Source organism: Homo sapiens, chromosome 13 (genome assembly GCF_000001405.40).
Source record: "Homo sapiens chromosome 13, GRCh38.p14 Primary Assembly".
In the NCBI taxonomy this organism is placed as follows: Eukaryota; Metazoa; Chordata; class Mammalia; order Primates; family Hominidae; genus Homo; species Homo sapiens.
This window is the reverse complement of record NC_000013.11, coordinates 32,395,626-32,414,908: the sequence shown is the minus strand read 5'-3', so window position 1 is coordinate 32,414,908 and position 19,283 is coordinate 32,395,626. Positions and strand designations below refer to the sequence as shown.

At 39.0% G+C, this 19,283-nt stretch overlaps 2 protein-coding genes across 34 annotated transcripts in view, besides 1 other annotated feature; one reads left to right on the top strand and one right to left on the bottom strand.

Annotated features, from left to right (window-relative positions):
- N4BP2L1 (NEDD4 binding protein 2 like 1) overlaps positions 1-14,186 on the top strand; it is a 28,893-nt gene extending 14,707 nt beyond the window's left edge. For 8 of the 27 annotated variants that reach the window (XM_011535303.3, NM_052818.3, NM_001353633.2 and 5 more), the window contains 4 exons: positions 7,137-7,264; positions 7,571-7,659; positions 10,512-10,588; positions 11,709-14,186. In XM_011535303.3, coding sequence (XP_011533605.1) covers positions 7,137-7,264; positions 7,571-7,659; positions 10,512-10,588; positions 11,709-11,967 — 553 coding nt within the window. In that variant the 3' untranslated portion in view covers positions 11,968-14,186. Of the gene's footprint in view, positions 1-3,316; positions 3,382-7,136; positions 7,265-7,570; positions 7,660-10,511; positions 10,589-10,637; positions 10,707-11,147; positions 11,254-11,708 lie in introns of those variants that run through there. The other 19 variants (NR_148478.2, NM_001079691.2, NM_001353628.2 and 16 more) reach the window with 15 other exon arrangements.
- Positions 6,727-7,006: an enhancer, noted in NCBI's record as "active region_7556". NCBI's record gives its function as "activates an Ori minimal core promoter by ATAC-STARR-seq in GM12878 lymphoblastoid cells {active_cell/tissue: GM12878}" and the evidence as "EXISTENCE:reporter gene assay evidence [ECO:0000049][PMID:35858748]".
- Positions 14,641-19,283, bottom strand: part of BRCA2 (BRCA2 DNA repair associated) — an 85,192-nt gene continuing 80,549 nt past the window's right edge. For all 7 annotated transcript variants that reach the window (NR_176251.1, NM_001432077.1, NM_000059.4 and 4 more), the window contains 2 exons: positions 17,865-18,011; positions 14,641-16,747 (listed from right to left, as the gene is read on the bottom strand). Coding sequence is in view for 6 of the 7 variants with exons in the window: in NM_001432077.1 (NP_001419006.1) it covers positions 16,139-16,747; positions 17,865-18,011 (756 nt within the window). In the remaining variant the exon portion in view is untranslated. The remainder of the gene's footprint in view (positions 16,748-17,864; positions 18,012-19,283) is intronic.

Genomic DNA, 19,283 nt, shown 5'->3' with positions numbered 1-19,283 from the left:
CAGAAAGGCTTTCTCAGATCTGCAAGAGCTCACAGAGTCTGTAATACCCATGTGCCCTGAGTGAATAGACCTGAGGTAAGGTTCTGGCAGCCCCACATGCAAACGGTAGAAACCCAAGCCAGTTTTTAAGCTCTTGAAGCCCTAGTTTCTTTATTTGTAAACCAAGTAAAAGTAAATGATTTACTTCATAAAATTGTTATAAAGGTTAAAGGGACAGAATATATGCCAAGCTCTTTGTTCACTGCTTAGTACTCTTTTAAAAAAATAATAGAATTTATTGGAACAACCAATCTTAGCCAACCATGAGAGGAATCACAAACAAGAAGAAAAGAAAGCCACTGCACCCCGCTAAAATTTAGACTTTTAGAGATTATTACAAACAAAATTAAAAAGCAATTGCTGTACATAATAAAAAATTGACATTCAATAAGAAAGATAAACCTCCTAATAAGGAGGCTTTATTCACCAAAGGACGTGAAAGTGCAGTTCACCAAAGAATATCTCTAAATGATCAGCACACACACACAAACTAATATTGCTGATAATTAAAGAAGTAGGGACAAACTAAATGCCTAACCATAGACCATTGGTTAAGCATTAAATTATTAGTTAAGCATTATGTTATGGCACATCCATAGGAATAAGTATGCCATATCATTAAAAATCATGTCATAGAAGAATATTTTATAAGGTGGGAAATAATTTGCTATGAAAAAATGCTTGGTTAGGCCGGGCACAGTGGCTCACGCCTGTAATCCCAGCACTTTGAGAGGCCTAGGCGGGTGGATCACCTGAGGTCTGGAGTTCAAGACCAGCCTGGCCAACATGGTGAAACCTCGTTGCTACTAAAAATACAAAAATTAGCTGGGCATGGTGGCACATGCCTGTAATCCCAACTACTCAGGAGGCTGAGGCAGGAGAATCGCTTGAACCCAGGAGCTGGAGGCTGGAGTGAGCTGAGATCGCGCCACTGCACTCCAGCCTGGGTGACAGAGTGAGACTCTGTCTCAAAAAAAAAAAAAAAAAAAAAAAGCTTGGTGCAAACTTGGTGTACTCTACATGATGTTCCTCTTCATGTAACAAGAGATAAAATGAAAAGAAATTATATATATATTTCCAGTCCTGGAAAGAAGACCAAAATGTTAATAATTATTTGTAGATGGGGGAATATAGGAACCTCACTCCTTTTTTGCACTTTTTTTGTTTTGTGATCAGAGAAATAGATGTAAAGATTGCTGAGGGAAATGTTGGAGAATTGGATCGGTACATGGGCTCACAGTTTTGTCCCCCATATTAGTTAATATTACAAAGGAAGCAAGATACCTTTCCAGTGGAGAGGTCTGGCTAACACCACCCTTTAGCCAAGTGATCGAACTTAGCATTGAATTTAGCATGGTGGGACAGACTGTCATTATGTGCAATCAGAAGTACACAAACATCACCTCTGTACTTTGCTTTTAAAAAACATTTAATCTGGGTTTAATCACTAGGAAACAACCACACAAACCCAGAATGCAGAACATTCTCATACCAACTAGAGAAACCAAAACAGCATGAGGACAGTTCTAGATTCAAAGACGTTAACCAGACATAATAACCAAGTGCAGTACTTGAAGCTTATGAAAAATATTCTTGAGACCATTGGGGAATTTTTAAAAATTTAAATTTAAAAACCTAACATTAGGCCAGGAGAGGTGGCTCATGCCTGTAATCCCAGCATTTTGGGAGGCCGAGGCAGGTGGATCACCTGAGGTCAGGAATTGGAGACCAGCCTGACCAACGTGGCAAAACCCCATCTCTACTAAAAATACAAAAAAATTAGCTGGGCATGGTGGTGGGCGCCTATAATCCCAGCTTCTTGGGAGGCTGAGGCAAGAGAATTGATTGAACCCGGGAGGTGGAGGTTGCAGTGAGCCGAGATCGTGCCACTGCACTCCAGCCTGGGCGACAGAGTGGGACTCCATCTCTAAATAAACACATAAGTACATAAATGCATAAAAATAAAATAAAATAAAAACCTAACATTAGCTCTTATGAATTAATCACTCTTTCAGGCTCTTTCAGGATGACAGGCCCTGCGGAGTGAGAGCCAGCCCCACCAGATGTGTGAAGGACCTTGCTTAGGGCACTCTGCCTTAATTTTTTAGATGCAATAATGGTATTGTGGTTATGCAGGGAATTGTTCTTATTCTTAAGAGATACTTGATAAAGAATTTAGGAATAAAGTATCGCGATGTATGGAGTTTATCTTTTTTTTTTTTTTTTTTGAGACAGTTGAGACAGAGTTTCGCTCTGTCACCTAGGCTGGAGCTGGAGTGTAGTGGCACGGTCTTGGCTCACTGCAATTTCTGCCTCCTGGGTTCAAGTGATTCTCATGCCTCAGCCTCCTGAGTAGCTGGGATTAAAGGTGTGCACCACCAGTCTGGCTAATGTTTGTTATTTTTAGTAGAGACGGGATTTTGCCGTGTTGGCCAGGCTGGTCTCAAACTCCTGACCTCAAGTGATCCGCCCGTCTTGGCCTCCCAAAGTGCTGGGATTACAAATGTGAGCCACCGCGCCCGGCCTGCAATTTACTTTCATATTGTTCTCCAAAAATATATATAGGAGAGACATAAACTAAGGCAAAATGTGAACATCTGGTGACCATAGATGAAGGGTAAGCAGCGTTCAATATACTGTTTTTCAACTCATTTCCATAGGTTTGTGTATTTTCTAATTAAAAGGTTGTGGCGGGAGAAGTTCAGGTGGAAATAAAAAGGAGAGGGCAAACTATAGGATAAATGAGACTTAAGGGACATGGCAACCAAATACAATGTGGGGATCTTGTTTGGTCCCTGTTGCACGCACACCAACTGGAGGAAAACACTGATGAGACAAGCAGGGAGACTAAACACTGATGGAGTGACTGATGCAATGAAATAGGAAGGACATGAGAGAAGACTGGCCATATGTTGATAACTGGTCATGTGTATATGAGGATCGAGTATATTATTCCATCTACTTTTGCATGCTTGAAAATTTCCCTAGTAAAAAACTGGGCGTCAAGTTAAAATTACATGCAATGTCTGACTTTCTCAGTGAGTGACTGACTGGCTGAAGAGATATCTAAATATATCTCTATGGTTCTCTATTATTAAATAAAGAATTACACAAAAGAATAAGTTGTGAAATCAAGATTAGCCCCTGAGTTTCTCTTATAATAGTGATTTTAAATGAATTTGAGCGGGGGTTGTGGGAGGTGAAGGTTATATGGAATTAATTATCTTTCTATTTTTTCCCTTTTATTTTCATTCTCTCAATTTCCCTAATGCATGAGGCTCCTGACCACCATAAAGATAGAACTGGGGCTTAACCCTCATCACTTCTGAAGCTGATGGAATGGTATTTATTGCTTCCACTTAAGTTTGAGAATCTCAAGATTGTCTATTTAATCAGTTCTTTATTTAGCTAGTAGAGTTTTTATTGTCCTGCCTATTCAACATGCTACTATGGCTGCTAGTGCTAATTTAACATTTAGGTGGAGATAAAACAAGTTTTGAAGTCATTCAGGAAGATCATACAGGCCAAAAAAAAAAAAAAAAAAATCCTTGGCCTTAAAGGTGAAAAACACCCTTAGTTTTGTCTGCCTGTTTGTTAGGAAGAGTATGGAGGCCACAGTCAGATGTGTCTCAGGAAATGATGGATGGTGTTCTTGCCCCATAGTGATCCTGAGCCATTTAGCTTTTACTCTAAGGTAAAATTTTGTGATTAAAAGGGCAGTAGTGTTATGTGCTGTTTTTGTTTTCTAGAAGGAAATAGGATTCAAATAAAACAAAACAAACAGTGAATTGGATACTCATGCCTTAAAGTCTTTTTAAAGGAAATATTATAAAGTATTAACTTCCAATCAATAATATAAACCACAAAGAGGAAAACAAGAGCAGATAAGGGTATGTATATGAAAAGAAAAATTCAAGTCTGAAAATGTTCAAAAACCAAAACAAAACTTGTAAGTAGCAGACTTAATAGGAGAACAAATGAAACCAGATTTAGAAGGGATATCAAATCGGGACCTGAAAGAAAAAAAAAATCTTGGATTCAGTTACCATGGTTGCTTAACTTAGTGTACAGAGGATAAGGGAAATACATTATACACTATTATTTAATCTCTGAACACAACTTTCATTATTTAAATAATATTGATGAAAATAACTTTAAAACTGTACAGTGTTCACAAATATAAAATATACATACCTGAAAATGCATCAGTGCTACCCTTAGATTTTTGTCCTGTCTGTATAATTGTTTGCATCAGAGGTTAAGGTTTGGACTTTCGATGTGCGTATCTTTAAAGAAGTCGAATAACAGACATTCATACGGAAACTATGAGCACTGGTTCATCAAGTCTTCTTTATACTTATCCCTTCCTTCGTGTCACTGGCTTTATCTGTACTAGATTTAAAGTGGCCACATTTTCTTTGCTCTTCCTTCCATCAAGAAGTCTACTTTCCTCGCCCTTCAATGTGGGCCAGCAAAGTGACTCGCTTTGACCAAAAGAATGTGCTGGAGCGCTGGTGAGCAGCTTCTTGTCTTGTTCTCTTTAAATACCGCGGTCTGTGAAGAGACCTGGGTGAGGCTCTTTCAGAAGGATGACAGGCCCTGCGGAGTGAGAGCCAGCACCACCAGACGTGTGAAGGACCCTGCTTAGGGCACTCCGCCCAGCCCCACGTAGTCAGGTGACGCAGCTGCCGCAGGGACCCCGGGCAAGGCCCGCAGATCGGCCCACCTGAGCCCAGCCCAAATTGCCAACACAAAAGAAGTTCATTCCCGCGCCCACACAATAGACTTCCCAGCGTCTGAGAACTATCCACCTTATCCCTTTTATTTTCTATTCTGCCTGAAACACTCCGCATGTCTCCGATGATCTTTGCTCCTCTGACATGGTTTCTGGACCTTGTATGTATTTGATCACTCTTCTCTGGACACGTTCAAGCTGGCCAAATTTCTCTTTAAATTGTGTGGCAGTCAGATTTGAAAACAGTGTTTCAAAGATGATTTGCGTCTTTTAACCCTTAGAGTCTTTCTGCTTTTCCCTGCAGCCCCTTCTCCCCTACAAGCCCTCCAGCACTCGCTTCCTCCTCTCTTTCCTGCCCGTGTGCTCAGCCCCTCCCCCAAGAGGCAGCAGTTTTCTCATCCCTCAGGGACCAAGTCAAACTTGCATCACTCCTTTGCATCACTTTCCCCGGCTCCTGACCCTTTCTCTCAGCGCTTTGCTGGGCCAGCTTTTTCCTCTGTGCGCTGCGCTGGCTGTGCCAGGTCTGACTCCTTTGGCTGGGCCATGAATTCCTTGAAAGCAGCTACTTTCTTTCTGTACCTTAACGCTTCACCTGGCATTTGGCACATGTTAAGTGCTCAATAAATGTTTAATGGGTTGGATAATTAACTAATATTCTTTCGGTATTAAAGTGTATTATCTACTGGCCCGCATTTCCCCGCAAAGCTACCAAGGGAGACTGTCAGATTCCTGTTTAAACAAACATAGTATGTCCACTGAATTTCCTGGTTTGCCACTGTTTAGTTCATTAAAAAAGAAAATGCATTTGGTTTGGAATTTCAGTGATCTATGCTGCCTTCTTTTTAAATGCTATCAAGCTTCTGAAGAATTTTGACAGATATTTAGTTACCATTTCTGGAATGTATATTCACTCGTTTTTGAAAATGGAAGCATTTTACTTTAGTTTTGTCTTTCATCTCCCTCTTAATTCACCGCAGTATCTCAAGGACTACTTGACATGCGCGCTCCGATGTGTTTATTACTGTGGCGTAGAAACAGTCTGGGTTGGTCAATTTGGCCTCATTGTTATTATAACACCATTTTACTTTTGTAAAGTGCCTTACTGGGTACAAAATGTTTTTTCATACTGGCCTCATTTCAGTCTGATTAGAAGCTCTGTTTAATAGGTAGGGATAATTATCTGTGTTTTACAGTTGAGAAAACAAAAGCTCCCAAGCCTGTGGGGGCACCTGAAGTGCTTACTCATCTGTGGCCCCAAGGCCTCATGTTTGTTCTGTTCTTCCTGGATTAAAGATCTTTCTGCTCCATGGAGAAGACCAACAGCAAAAAAGACATTGAATAGCTTTGCTTTCTCTTTGCATTTCCTGCCCTTGTCATTCTCCAACCTTTTTTCCTCCGATTTTTAAATATCTTCTTATTCTGAGCATGGCCATGTGACCATATTTTCTGTTTGTTGGCTGGGTTTGTTTGTCCTCAGTTTTTACAGATGCGGAAAGGAAGCTCAGACACGTCTCCAGTTCTTGCGGAGCATGACATCCACCTTCTGCCAAAAGATAGTACGAGCAAGGATTCAAGTGGAAACATCTTCTCTTTGAAGTTCTTTTGTGCAGAACTGAATAAGCGTATTCATTTTGTTTTGGTTTTGCTTTAAAGGGGAGCTCCATGGTGGTGTTTCTTTTTGCTGTGATATTTCCTACTTAGAGTGGTGGAGGGTAGGAAGGTAGGGGACAGTGGCTCTGTCGCTTTCCTTCTCCTGTTGTGCTTTTCTCCCATTTGGCTCGGGTCATCATTAAAACATAAATATGTTACCTGATAAAGTAGAGCACGTGCATCACTTCCCCACATTTCTCACTAGAATTAGTTTCTCAGATGGGTCCTTACAGAGAACAGAGCTCCAAGGAAATGGGCCAGCTCAGAGTTTAGGGGGCCGAGGGAAGGGCTGCAGCATGGGGGTCTGGCACCCATGGGCAGGTCTTGGGCAGGGGCACTGGTGCCTCGGAGAGGAATGGGCACCGGGATTGGTGCCCAGGAAGAAAGACAGTCACCAGGCCTGCGACTTAGCTTCAGTTTCTTCTTGAGTCAGTTCTTGCCGCTACAGAAGGCAGCGGCAGTGACTGTGCCTCTTAGTTTCAAGGACTGGCAACACACACTGCTGCCTCTCAGCCCTCTCCCATCTCCTGCTAAGGAGTGATGCCTTCTAGACATAATAAACATCTCTCTTTTGAAACTGCATTTTAACAACTCCAAACCTGGTGGTCTCAGAATTATAAACTGCTAAATGTTAGAGATGGAAGGAGATTATTTCTACTGAGACTATACATATATTTAAAACATCTCTCTCTCTCATTTCTCCACTTTCCAGACAATTGCAGCATGACTTTCCCAGGGCCCTGATTTTCAGCACGGATGATTTTTTCTTCAGGGAAGATGGTGCCTATGAGTTCAATCCTGACTTCCTGGAGGAAGCTCATGAATGGAACCAAAAAAGAGGTGACAAATTCCTTCCCAAACTCCTGGGAAACCCTGATGTGCACATAGATTGTAGCTGCTGCAGAATGAATAAATTTTATGGAAGGAGTTTAACCGAAAGTTCTGCCAATTTTTCCCCCAAAACAGAACACCAGAGCATAACCTCCTTAGATTCCAGAGAAAGAAAATTATTGATTGATAGTGGGCTCTGAAGTTGTGTGATGAGGAGATGAGGGCATCCTGTAATAAAAATGACGAATAGAGATTACGCTCACCTTCCCTCTGATTGTTGCATGTTGTTCACTGTTATGTAACATTGTGTTGCAGCAAGAAAAGCAATGAGGAATGGCATATCCCCCATTATTATTGATAATACCAACCTCCACGCCTGGGAAATGAAGCCCTATGCAGTCATGGTAGGAAGAAGTATCATTCTGAATTTTCAGTTATGGACATTTTGTGAGAAAGTTGAAGCATCTGTTCTTTCCTCTTTTTCTGATGTTCCATGATTTCATATTTGCTAACAGTGGTTCTCCCAGGGAGAAGGTAACGAGGTTTTATTTTAGTGTTTCTCTGCTGTTCAATGGCTGAAGTTTGCTGAGATGCTAATCTCACTTGAGGATACAATTTAAAAATAGTCCTTGGCAAATGGTCTTTGGTGTGAATCCTTGATAACTTTTCTGTCTTAATTACTTTCCTACGGCAAGGCATACAGAGAAGCACCCACCGAAATGTTCAGATCAATACTAATACTGAATTAGATGGCGCTCGTAGTGGAGCTACAGGTCACAACAGGACGGTTCTGCCTCTGGTGAGCCGGGAATTTCCACACTGTGTGCTGTTGCTCCCTGGGAGTTCCAGGGCAACAGAATATTTTAGTCTAAAGACAGATTTAGGGCCAGGTGTGGTGGCTCACGCCTGTAATCCCAGCAATTTGGGGGGCCGAGGTGGGCGGATCACTTGAGTCCAGGAGTTCGAGACCAGCCTGGCCACCATGGTGAAAACCCATCTCTACTAAAAATACAAAAATAGCCGGGGCATGGTGGCGGGCGCCTGTAATCCTAGCTACTTGGGAGGCTGAGGCAGGAGAATAGCTTGAACCTGGGAGGCGGAGGTTGCAGTGACCTGAGATCACACCACTGCTCTCCAGCCTGGGTGACAAGAGTGAAATTCCATCTCAAAAAAAGAAAATTAAATAAAAAATAAAAACAGATTTAGGATTAACACTGTAACCTTATTGAGATGGTAGAATGCAAATATAAATAAAAACAACTCAGCTCTCATTGTCAGAATAGCAAAGAACAGTACGATGCCTGTAACAGTGTGCACATTATCCTTTAATTGTGAAGTCTATTTGGTCTTTTTTCATACATATTCCATCTCTTGTGATAATGTTTTCATTCCCTATTGGGTCTAGAAAGGAGGAAGGATCCAGAACCATAAAAATGGGGCAGGAAGGCCGGGTGCGGTGGCTCATGCCTGTAATCCCAGCACTTTGGGAGGCTGAGGCGGGTGGATCACGAGGTCAGGAGATTGAGACCATCCTGACTAACACGGTGAAACCCCGTCTCTACTAAAAAAAAAAAAATACAAAAATTAGCCGGGCGTGGTGGCAGGCGCCTGTAGTCCCAGCTACTGGGGAGTCTGAGGCAGGAGAATGGCGTGAACCCGGGAGGTGGAGCTTGCAGTGAGCTGAGATCGTGCCACTGCACTCCAGCCTGGGTGAAAGAGCGAGACTCTGTCTCAAAAAAAAAAAAAAAAAAAAAAAAAAAAGGGGGCAGGAAGCAGATAGTGGAGTATCCTCCTCGCATCATGCAGAATCCCTACCTGGTTAATTGTGAAGTGAATAGGTCCAGACTGGGCTCACGATTTTAGGCTTCTTTTTACATCTGGGGCTAACTGGCATACTTACAGGTGTGCTTTTCTCTAATGATCTTCATCAGTTCCACTTATGCCCAGATTGTGGGGCTTTGGTGAATGTAAGGAAGAATGAGCCCCAAACTTGTGGTTACTTCAGTTCATGTCTAGTCTACTTGGGCGAGAAATGAACAGGCACGTGAAGAGTCAATTGAATGAAGGCCATCACTTAAAACCAAGACTTAAGGACTAACTGACAAGCAGCCTAAGGGAAGTCATTTTACTTTTTGTTTTGTTTAGAGAGAGAGTCTCGCTCTGTCTCCCAGGCTGGAGTGCAGTGGCACGATCTCAGCTCACTGCAGCCTCTGCTTCCTAGATTCAAGCAATTCTCGTGTGTCAGCCACCCCAGCAGCTGGGATTACAGGCGTGTACCACCACGCCTGGCTAGTATTTGTATTTTTAGTAGAGACGGGGATTTGCCGTGGTGGCCAGCCTGGTCTCAAACTCCTGAGCTGAAGTGATTCACCCGCCTCGGCCTCCCAAAGTGCTGGGATTACAGGTGTGAGCCACCGCGCCCGGCCTCATTTTACTTTTTATCTTCTGGATATGTATAATCTTTTTCAGCCATCCTCAGCTATTAATTCGACTTAGAAATGAGAGGTTTCCGGTTGTGTTATTTAAATCCTTCCCAGTTGAGAAGCGCCCATCTCAAGAATGAAAAGGAAACCTTTTTGCTTAGCTCTTTCCACTCTATGTTTTATAAACACAATAAATTATAGTGATAATAGAAAATTCAGTTTGAGATAAAGTAGTAGTCAATTTATGAATGCAAAGAATATTTGGATGTTTATAAGGAAATTATAATAGTTTTCTAAACTCAAGGAAATGGGGCCCAGAGCATTGACCCAAATTGTATTGCATAATGGGGAGAGCTACTTTTGGAAGGAAGATGATGTGAAGTATGTGACTATCACTTTTATTTCACCAGTTATGTTCCTATGGTACTCCCACTTTCTAAAGGAAGGCATGAGGAATAGGACAAGGCATCTGACAAGTAAATCTACAAAAATCCCATAAGTGACTTTGAGACGTCACTGAGTTCATTCATACCGGTGTTCAGGACGTTTTAAACTAGCTCAGTCATCTATTTTTAAAGATGTCCAAAACAAAGAACCTTTACAAATTTCCTACATACTAGATAAAATTGAGCAAAATTTATCATGGAGAATTATGAGAGTGGCTAAGTATGGGAATGAAACAACTGCATTTATTGTGATAAATTAAGGCATTGGATTACTGGTAAAACAAAAGGAATTCTGAAAAGATTTGTAGTAAATGTTAAATGGCAGCATAAACATTCCCAAACATACATACTATGTCTTCAATGTTTTATGTACTTTTGAAAAATCAGGCACTTGAAAATAACTATGAAGTTATATTCCGAGAACCTGACACTCGCTGGAAATTCAACGTTCAAGAGTTAGCAAGGTACTTCTTTGTTTTTCTAGTTCCTCATTATGTATCCTGCTATTTTCAGGTATTTCAGACCGAACAAAAGAATCTTTTCAGGCTGGAAATGGACATGGTAGTTTTCAGGCCAGAAATGGTAATTCTTGGAAATTGATAACTTTGGAATTATTAATGTGAAGACTTTAGTTTTGGGTCAGTTTTCTAATATAATGCTAAATGCTAAATCTTGGCTTGGACTTGGTCCTTTAAAAGGATGCATTTAACATTCTGCTAAAATGCTTCTTCATCAAGGAACATTTAAAAGCACTTTATCTGCATGGGACTGCACATGTCAATGGTGTTTTTGCATTTAGGCTAAAGATCTTTAGAGGTTGAGCAGTCTGCGATTCATTTATGATCTAGATGCTGCTTCTAATTTATAAAGCAATAAATGTTCAAATAATACTAACTTGTTGATTGAATGCATGGGTTCAGATATTCTCTGTCTGTATTATTTGATAATGTCATTGACTTAAAATAGCCAGTGAGGTAAGAATTTACTTCTTAGGAGTAAGGCTGGTTCCTCTTATGGTAATAGGCAGATAGTGTCTTCAAAGTGGATCTGTGGACTACTCCATCAGAATTGCCTCAGGTGGCTATTAAAATCCGAGTTCATGGACCCCATTCAGTAGTTGGAATCTCTGGTAATTATATTTCTAACTATATCCCCAGTTGATTCTTCTGCCCACTAGAATTTAAGATTGTTTTAATAAGTATCTCCTAGAAATATATCTCAGGGACTGATTAACATAAGTAGATAGATATATGCATGACATTAACAGGCAAATGTATGATTTTTTAAAAATCTCATGGTGTTCTTTTATGTCTTGAAGCACGTAATTGAGAGGACCAGAAACAAAGCATTTCTGAAGCTTTAGCTCCTTGCTAGCCTCAGGGTGGTTTGGGGGTGTGCAGGGCAGCATGAAAAACATGAGTGGAGGCTGAAAGAGAACTGCTGAACAAGATGTTTGTTATGCTTTTGCCAGAGCTAGGTCCTGAGAACAGGGACTGCAATATCTGCAATACTAGAGGACTTGTAAAATATAAGTAACTCATTGTGGTATCCTGCCTTAACTAAATGCATTTTTTTTCCATGTAGAAGAAACATTCATGGTGTCTCAAGAGAAAAAATCCACCGAATGAAAGAACGGTATGAACACGATGTTACTTTTCACAGTGTGCTTCATGCAGAAAAGCCAAGCAGAATGAACAGAAACCAGGACAGGAATAATGCATTGCCTTCCAACAATGCCAGATACTGGAATTCCTACACAGAGTTTCCAAACCGGAGGGCCCACGGTGGATTTACAAATGAGAGCTCCTATCACAGAAGGGGCGGTTGTCACCATGGATATTAGAGGCCTATCTTACAGCCAGGCAGAATTTTCCTAAGTCAGTTTCTACTTCAGTTTTTGTTATTTTTTGTTGCATTTTAGTCAGAGCTCCAATTCCAGTGTAAATAGCTGAACTCAAAAGTTTCTGAGCAAAGTCATTATATTCACTTTCTTCACCAAAATTTGTTAAAGTGCTTCTATATGCATGGTCTGATGCTGGGAATTCTGCAGATTTGAGTAAACAGTCTCTTTCTCTAGGGTAAGAATTTGAAACCAAAACTTGAGAACACACCCAAGAATATATTTACATAGGTTCATAGATGAAATAAAGTGTTTATATTATATATAAGCTTCAGTACCATTTGCTCTGAAGTGATCTATTTATTTTTTCAGGAAATTCATCTCCATCGGTAAAGTTGGGAAGGTGGAGAGAAGTGGTGGGGGGGCATTGCTACTTATCAAAGTGCCATTGCTACTTTGATAATCTATGTATCTAAAAATGTGAGATGTGCGACTCTTATGATACTGATTTTCCTTTAATGTTAATATGCCAGAAAGCATACATCTAAGGGAACATTGTCCTTCAAAGTAGACACTTTGGGAAGTTATTTCTTTATTTTAATGATGTATCATTGTTAAAAATGCTGTCAAATCCTTAATAGCTACAGGAGCTACTGAGGGAAATCAGTGTCATTATTTAAAGTCACGCCTTGTGTTTTTACTACTTTATTCAGCAGGATTAAACCTGAATAACTTTTGGCTGTTGTGCTAATAGTGTAAATAAAATAAGCCTGCCTTCATAAAACACTAACTTTTAAAAGGAATAAACGACTTCTAAAATTATGCCTATTAACATGTGTAATTAGTCGGCAGCTCAAATGTTTGGGAGTGCAAGAAATTAGGCACCCCAGGATATAGGTCATACAGGGATATATAAAAGCCATGCTCATTACAAAATGAGCAGTTGATGTTTTATGTGGCATTAAGACAATCAAGTCCTCACAACTCTGGAATGTCTTCTTATACTGATGCTGAATTTATGAATCCAAATTAATTTCCAACAGGTTGGAATCAGATTTAATGTGAGATCATGATAGACAAGACCACAGAGGACGTATGCTCTATTTCTTGTTGGCCAACAGCTTCTTTCTAATGTTCTGTGAAAAATTATTTTAAGTGTCTTATATAATGGTGCTTTTATGGTTATTAAAAATTGTAAATGGTATCACATTTATATGGATTTGTCATTGGATCTTTTTTTGGTTCAACAATAAAAAAATTTAATTACCTAAATGCCAAGAAACTCAACAATATACCAGTTTTTCTGTATCACAGGCTTATTTACCAGTCTTTTTTTTAATAAATAGGAATCGTAAAGGTAATGACAAAAGCAGCCTTATAATTTAGTTGCTTATATATTTGATCTGTGTACATGAGACTGTTTTAACGTTATCTGACACTACTGAAACCTGCTCGACATCTCCATGACTACCAACACCATGTGTAATGTTTTCTTCACTAACATTTTAAAAACTGGTATCTCCTTTGAGTAAGTTTGGCTGACAATAGTAAATCCCAATGAATCTAAGGTGTTATCAGCTTTGCTAACTTCTGTATCTCCAAGCACAACATAAAATAATCTCCTAATGATCTACTTAATAATGCTCCCATTTTCCAGGCCCAGGTAGTCCTGGGTATCTTGGTTGATAGGGTGGTGGCATAACCAGCTCAATATGGATGGCTTGACTCGTCTGGGCTGGTAGAGGGGAGAAATGTCAGAGAGCTCAAAGTGGAAATTACCATCCTTTGATTTCACATGAGCGGTTCAAAGGACCAGATTCAAGCCCTCCTGACTTGGCTGGCTCCCTGCTTTAGGGTTTTTGGCTCACTTGGGTTAAGTGAGTGACCACTATGGAGAAGTGGCTCTGGGTTACATAACTTTTCTAGAGCTCTAAAGAATAGTTTCCTGGCCTATTTAATGTCTCTTCTTTCCCTAGCTGACCCCTGAAATATTTGGTTTGTAAACCATAAAAATTGATTAAATGCCATCAACTTTATCCCCTGTAGAAGTGATCTGTTTTTCAACTCCCATGGCTTCTGATTTGTGTAACTCTTTGAACACCCAATATTGACTTGTATTGTGTTCGCTGTTTGCATCATTCATAGAACTGGCAAATGCTCTTTATGGGCAATAGGGTCTCATTAAATGATTGCTGAATAAATAACACAAATTTTTACCATTATCCCTTATGATGCAGTATGTTGACTTTGTAGTCATTAAATTGTCACTTTTGAGGGGATAATATGCACATATACTCAAGCTTCATATTTTGTTTCATGTAGCTTGGATGTTATTTATAATTTATAAAAAAGTGTGCGCATTACATATCTATCAACATAATGGGTGTTCTACATGAGAACAGACAATAGCAGTTGTACCAAGGATTCAAAAAAGAAAAGGTTAAATTCTTGTAATTTTTTCTGTTCTCCTGTTTGAAACCCAAGTTTTATTCCTTGTTCTAGAGTGGATCACTGCAAAATTAGGATGTGAAAACCAAACTGTTTTAGAAACAAAACAAGTCTCATTAATAAGACTTGCAGAATACTTAAGTTACAGGGAGTAGCAAAATAGACAATTTTGTTAATGCTTTTTACAGAACAGAAAAATCATGGCTCAGAGTTATGGAAGGAAACAAGTCAATTTTTTAAAAGATTTATTCTTGGCTTTAAACGTATTTATAATTAGATTTGAAAACATGATATTATACAGACATTTAAGGCATTAAAACATCTGATTTAAGACCTTCTCCATGCAATTAACTCCCAGTTAGAAATGTTTTATCCCTTTTCTCTATTAAACCTAAGAAAGTAACAAATATTGGCCGGGCACAGTGGCTCACGCCTATAATCCCAGCACTTTGGGAGGCTGAGGCAGATGGATCACCTGACATCAGGAGTTTGAGACCAGCTTGGCCAACATGGTAAAACCCAGTCTCTACTAAAAATGCAAAAATTAGCTGGGCATGGTGGTGCGTCCCTGTAATCCCAGCTACTAGGGAGGCTTGAGGTGGGAGAATTACGTGAACCCGGGAAGTGGAGGCTGCAGTGAGCCAGGATCATGCCACTGCACTCCAGCATGGGCGACAAAGCAAGACTCCATCTCCAAAAAAAAAAAAAAAGGACGTAACAAATGAGAGTATCATCTTAAATTGAATTAATCTTCTGCTTTTGTGGTAAGTTTAAAAGGGCATAGGCTCTGGGTCCTGTGATAGCGCTAAAAATAAAGCAGGCAGAATCAGTGCCAATTTGAAAGCAAGATATTTTCTCAAGTTTGAGTTTGGATGACCATTTTGTTGAAAAAAAAAATAAATTAACTATGAAATCTTCTGATTTAAAGTATTTGAATTTTTAGTTGAAGTAATTTAATTTCAGAGATCACACTGGAATAGTAAAAAGGAATTAGAGTTACACTGAGGGTTCTATTTTTCTTATAATCATGCTGACTTAAGGATGAAGAATTGCTCAAAAGGAAACACCACTCTTCATATTCATCCTGACTTTTGAACAGGATGGAACTATAGCAGAACCAACATATTTGCATTAAGGAGAACTATTTCATAGTGAGTTACCTCTAAAAAAAATCCCCTAAAATAGTAGCTAAACTAAAAGGAATTATCTGCATCAAAATAACTGTACTAAGAGACCTCATTCCATTTAATGACACAATCTAAAAGAAAATGGTATGTTTATTTCACTTGTAAAATAATACTTGTAGTGATCAAATCCAAAGATTTAAAAGATTTTCTTTTCCCCTTTTTTTTTTCTTTGTAAAGATGGGGGTCTCCCTATGTTGCCCAGGCTGGTCTTGAACTCCTGGCCTCAAGCACTCCTCCCACCTCAGCTTCTCAAAGTGTTGGGATTACAGGCATGAGCCACCGAGCTCAGCCAAAGATGTTTTTCTTGATTAGTTAATAAATTACATTTAGTTTTAAGATATGCAACTGAAGCAAAAGTATACCAATACGGAATCGGGCAAAACGATTTTTGCCCGATACACAAACGCTGAGGTAAATTTGAAACTAATTTCTTTTCTCATTGTGCAACATAAGTACTAATGTGTGGTTTGAAATTATATTCCAGTCTTATAAACTGGAAAGGTTAAGCGTCAATAATTTATTGTCGCCTTTGCAAATGCTTAGATATATTTTTTAGTTGTAATTGTGTCCTGCTTATTTTTCTCACATTCTTCCGTACTGGCCTGGGAACTCTCCTGTTCTTTGATCAGAGATGTAGTACAACGTCGTTTCAGTCTGAGATAATCTTCTGAACTGGTGGGAGCAGTCCTAGTGGATTCACTGACAGATATAAATTGTTTTTCTCCTGTTGAACCAGACAAAAGAGCTTGGGTATTTATCAATGCAAGTTCTTCGTCAGCTATTGAATTACTTTCCAAAAGAGAAATTTCATTGAATTTTTTAAATGGAGTCATCTGAGGAGAATTCAGTTCTTTTTTCTTTATGGGTGTTTCGTATTTGGTGCCACAACTCCTTGGTGGCTGAAATGCCTTCTGTGCAGCCGGAGAAACAAATGTACAAATGGGACTAACAGGTGGAGGTAAAGGCAGTCTACTCAAGAAATCCAAGGCTCTTCTCTTTTTGCAGTTCTTTTGGTCATCAATCTCTTTCTCCCCTTTACAAGACTTTGAAGTCATCTGGGCTGAGACAGGTGTGGAAACAGACTTCCTTTTGGCCATACAAAGTGATAAAGGACTTTGATAATATATCTCACAATTAGGAGAAGACATCTGATAAAAAAATGAAAACGTAGCCTATCATAATTATGTAGTAACATAAAAAACTAAATCAAAGTAACTTTTCATTGAAAATATTTAAGCACGCAAATATTACACACAGTCTCCCTCCCCTAACTCCTAATAGGTTAGGTGATTTCAGTTCACATTATTCCTATTCTAGATGAAAGTAATTTTACATAAGAACATATAAAATGACATGAAAAGGAAGGAAGATGAAGAATAATCACAGTAAAAGATAAAAAAGGAGGTAGGGGACGTCACTTATGCTTTAATCTTTTGTTTTTTATTATTAACAGATTAAACAAAGATAAATATTTTAAAGCCATCTTGAGAACACACACTATCTGGGTTCTAATACCTACTTTTCTAGCTTTGTGACCTTATTAGGCAATTGCTTAACCTCTCTCTATGCCACAGTCTCCTCATCTACAAAATCAGGATAATAGAGTCAAGTCCTCACTTAACATAATTGATAGGTTCTCGGAAACTGTGACTTTAAGTCAAACAATGTATAGCAGGTCTTTGAGCAATGTCATTTAAATCTTCAACATCATTTTGTTAGAACAGTGATGAGAAAAAAAAATGGTTTTGTTATACATCACTTCCCTTAAAATCAGTTTCCAAAAACCTATTGACAATGTTAAGTGAGGACTTAGGTTTTATCTCATAGGGTTGTTATGAGGATTAAATGAGTTAATATAGATACCCTTAGCAAGTATTAGCTATTTAAGAATCAGCCATTAGCCAATGTTAAAGACTTTAGCTTGATTTGCATCTACTGTGATTTAACCACTTAAATAGCTTAGAAACAGCTTACAAACAGCTTAGAAACAACCCTAATTGTATGGAACAGTGAAATAAATGACAAAAAACACTTTTCAATCACATGTAAATGAAAGCACCTGTTTGGAAAGTGTGCACCCAGAGTTTCATATCTTGCTTCAATAAATAAAATTTCTAAATAACTATACTTACAGGAGCCACATAACAACCACATTTTCTAATTAAGTTTAATTACATTTTACCATGTTTACTAGGTATACAACAGAATATACGATGGCCTCCATATATACTTCTTATAATATTCCTTGAGTTTACATTAACTTACCAGAAGCTTGTTTCCTGTACCAGGAATGATTTGAGCAGTGTACGGCCCTGAAGTACAGTCTTTAGTTGGGGTGGACCACTTGGGATCATTTGCATGCAGTATATGCATAAGCTTGTTTTCTGCTTCATTGCAAAGTATGTCAATATTCTAAGAAAATAAGTGGAAAAGCTGCTTTATAAATTGCAAACCCACATATTTATGTTTCCAAAAGTATTTCCTTTAAAAGCAGAAATGAAAAGTTTGGACCAAAAAAGAATGAAAAACCCTAAATGTGATACCAATTGTCAAACATGCCGATGCAAAATTACAAAACCAGTATCAGTGATTTAGGGGAATCTAGCTGATAGGGAGAGGGGAACAGAGAAAAAGTATGTGTATCTGAAGGAAAGAGATCTTCTCTGTCATCTAGTTTAATCAGCAAGCTGTCATATGATCTGGATTGAAGCTGGAAGATTGGGGCTCAAGTCCTAGCTCTATTTACTACTTAATAGCTGGGAATCATCTCACATCTATAAAGGTACTTCTTTGGTTAGAGAAAAGAAAGAATTGCCTCACCTACCTCACGTCTGTTCCAAGAATTAATTGAAATGATTTATAGGTTAAACTACATGAAACTGTTGCTTGAGAAATCACAACTGGTCAAATATCAGCAATTTCATATGGTTTAACCTAATTCATGACAGTATTTTGTAAAACTTTAAAATGCTGTGTAAATGACAGTTGTCTCTTCAGCAGGATTAGTAAACTGCCTTTGAAGACGTCTCAGAGAAAATGCGGGCTCGGTGGCTCATGCCTGTAAACCCAGTACTTGGGGAGGCCAAGGTGGGCAGATCACTTGAGGCCAAGAGTTCGAGACCAGACTGCCCAACATGGTGAAACCATGTCTCTACTAAAAATACAAAAATTAGCTGGGCGTGGTGGCACGCACCTGTAGTCCCAGCTACTTGGGAGGCTAAGGCACGAGAATCGCTTGAGCCCAGGAGGCAGACACTGCAGTGATCCGAGATTGTGCTATTGTACTCCAGCCTGGGGGTGACAAAGCAAGACTCTGTCTCTAAAAAAAAAAAAAAAAAAAAAAAAAAAAGAAAGAAAGAAAAAAAGAAAATGTGGGGTGTAAACAGTAGATATGCTGTATGGGAACTAAATAATGAATACAACTCCCACCCCTAATTTAGAAACTAGATATAGCAGAGTGTTATTCATTATGCATAGAGTCTCTAGGTAAAATGTCAACACAGCTTTCTTTATACAGCTACTCTAATGCTTTTAAAATATATTTTTATATAAATTCTGAATAACACACATTTCAAATATTAAACTACAGAATTAAGAGGCTTATTTTTTGTGTATTCTTCACTAGTTACCAACTCATGAAATCTCAAATTTTACTGGGAAGCAGCATTGCATAGCAGTTCCTAG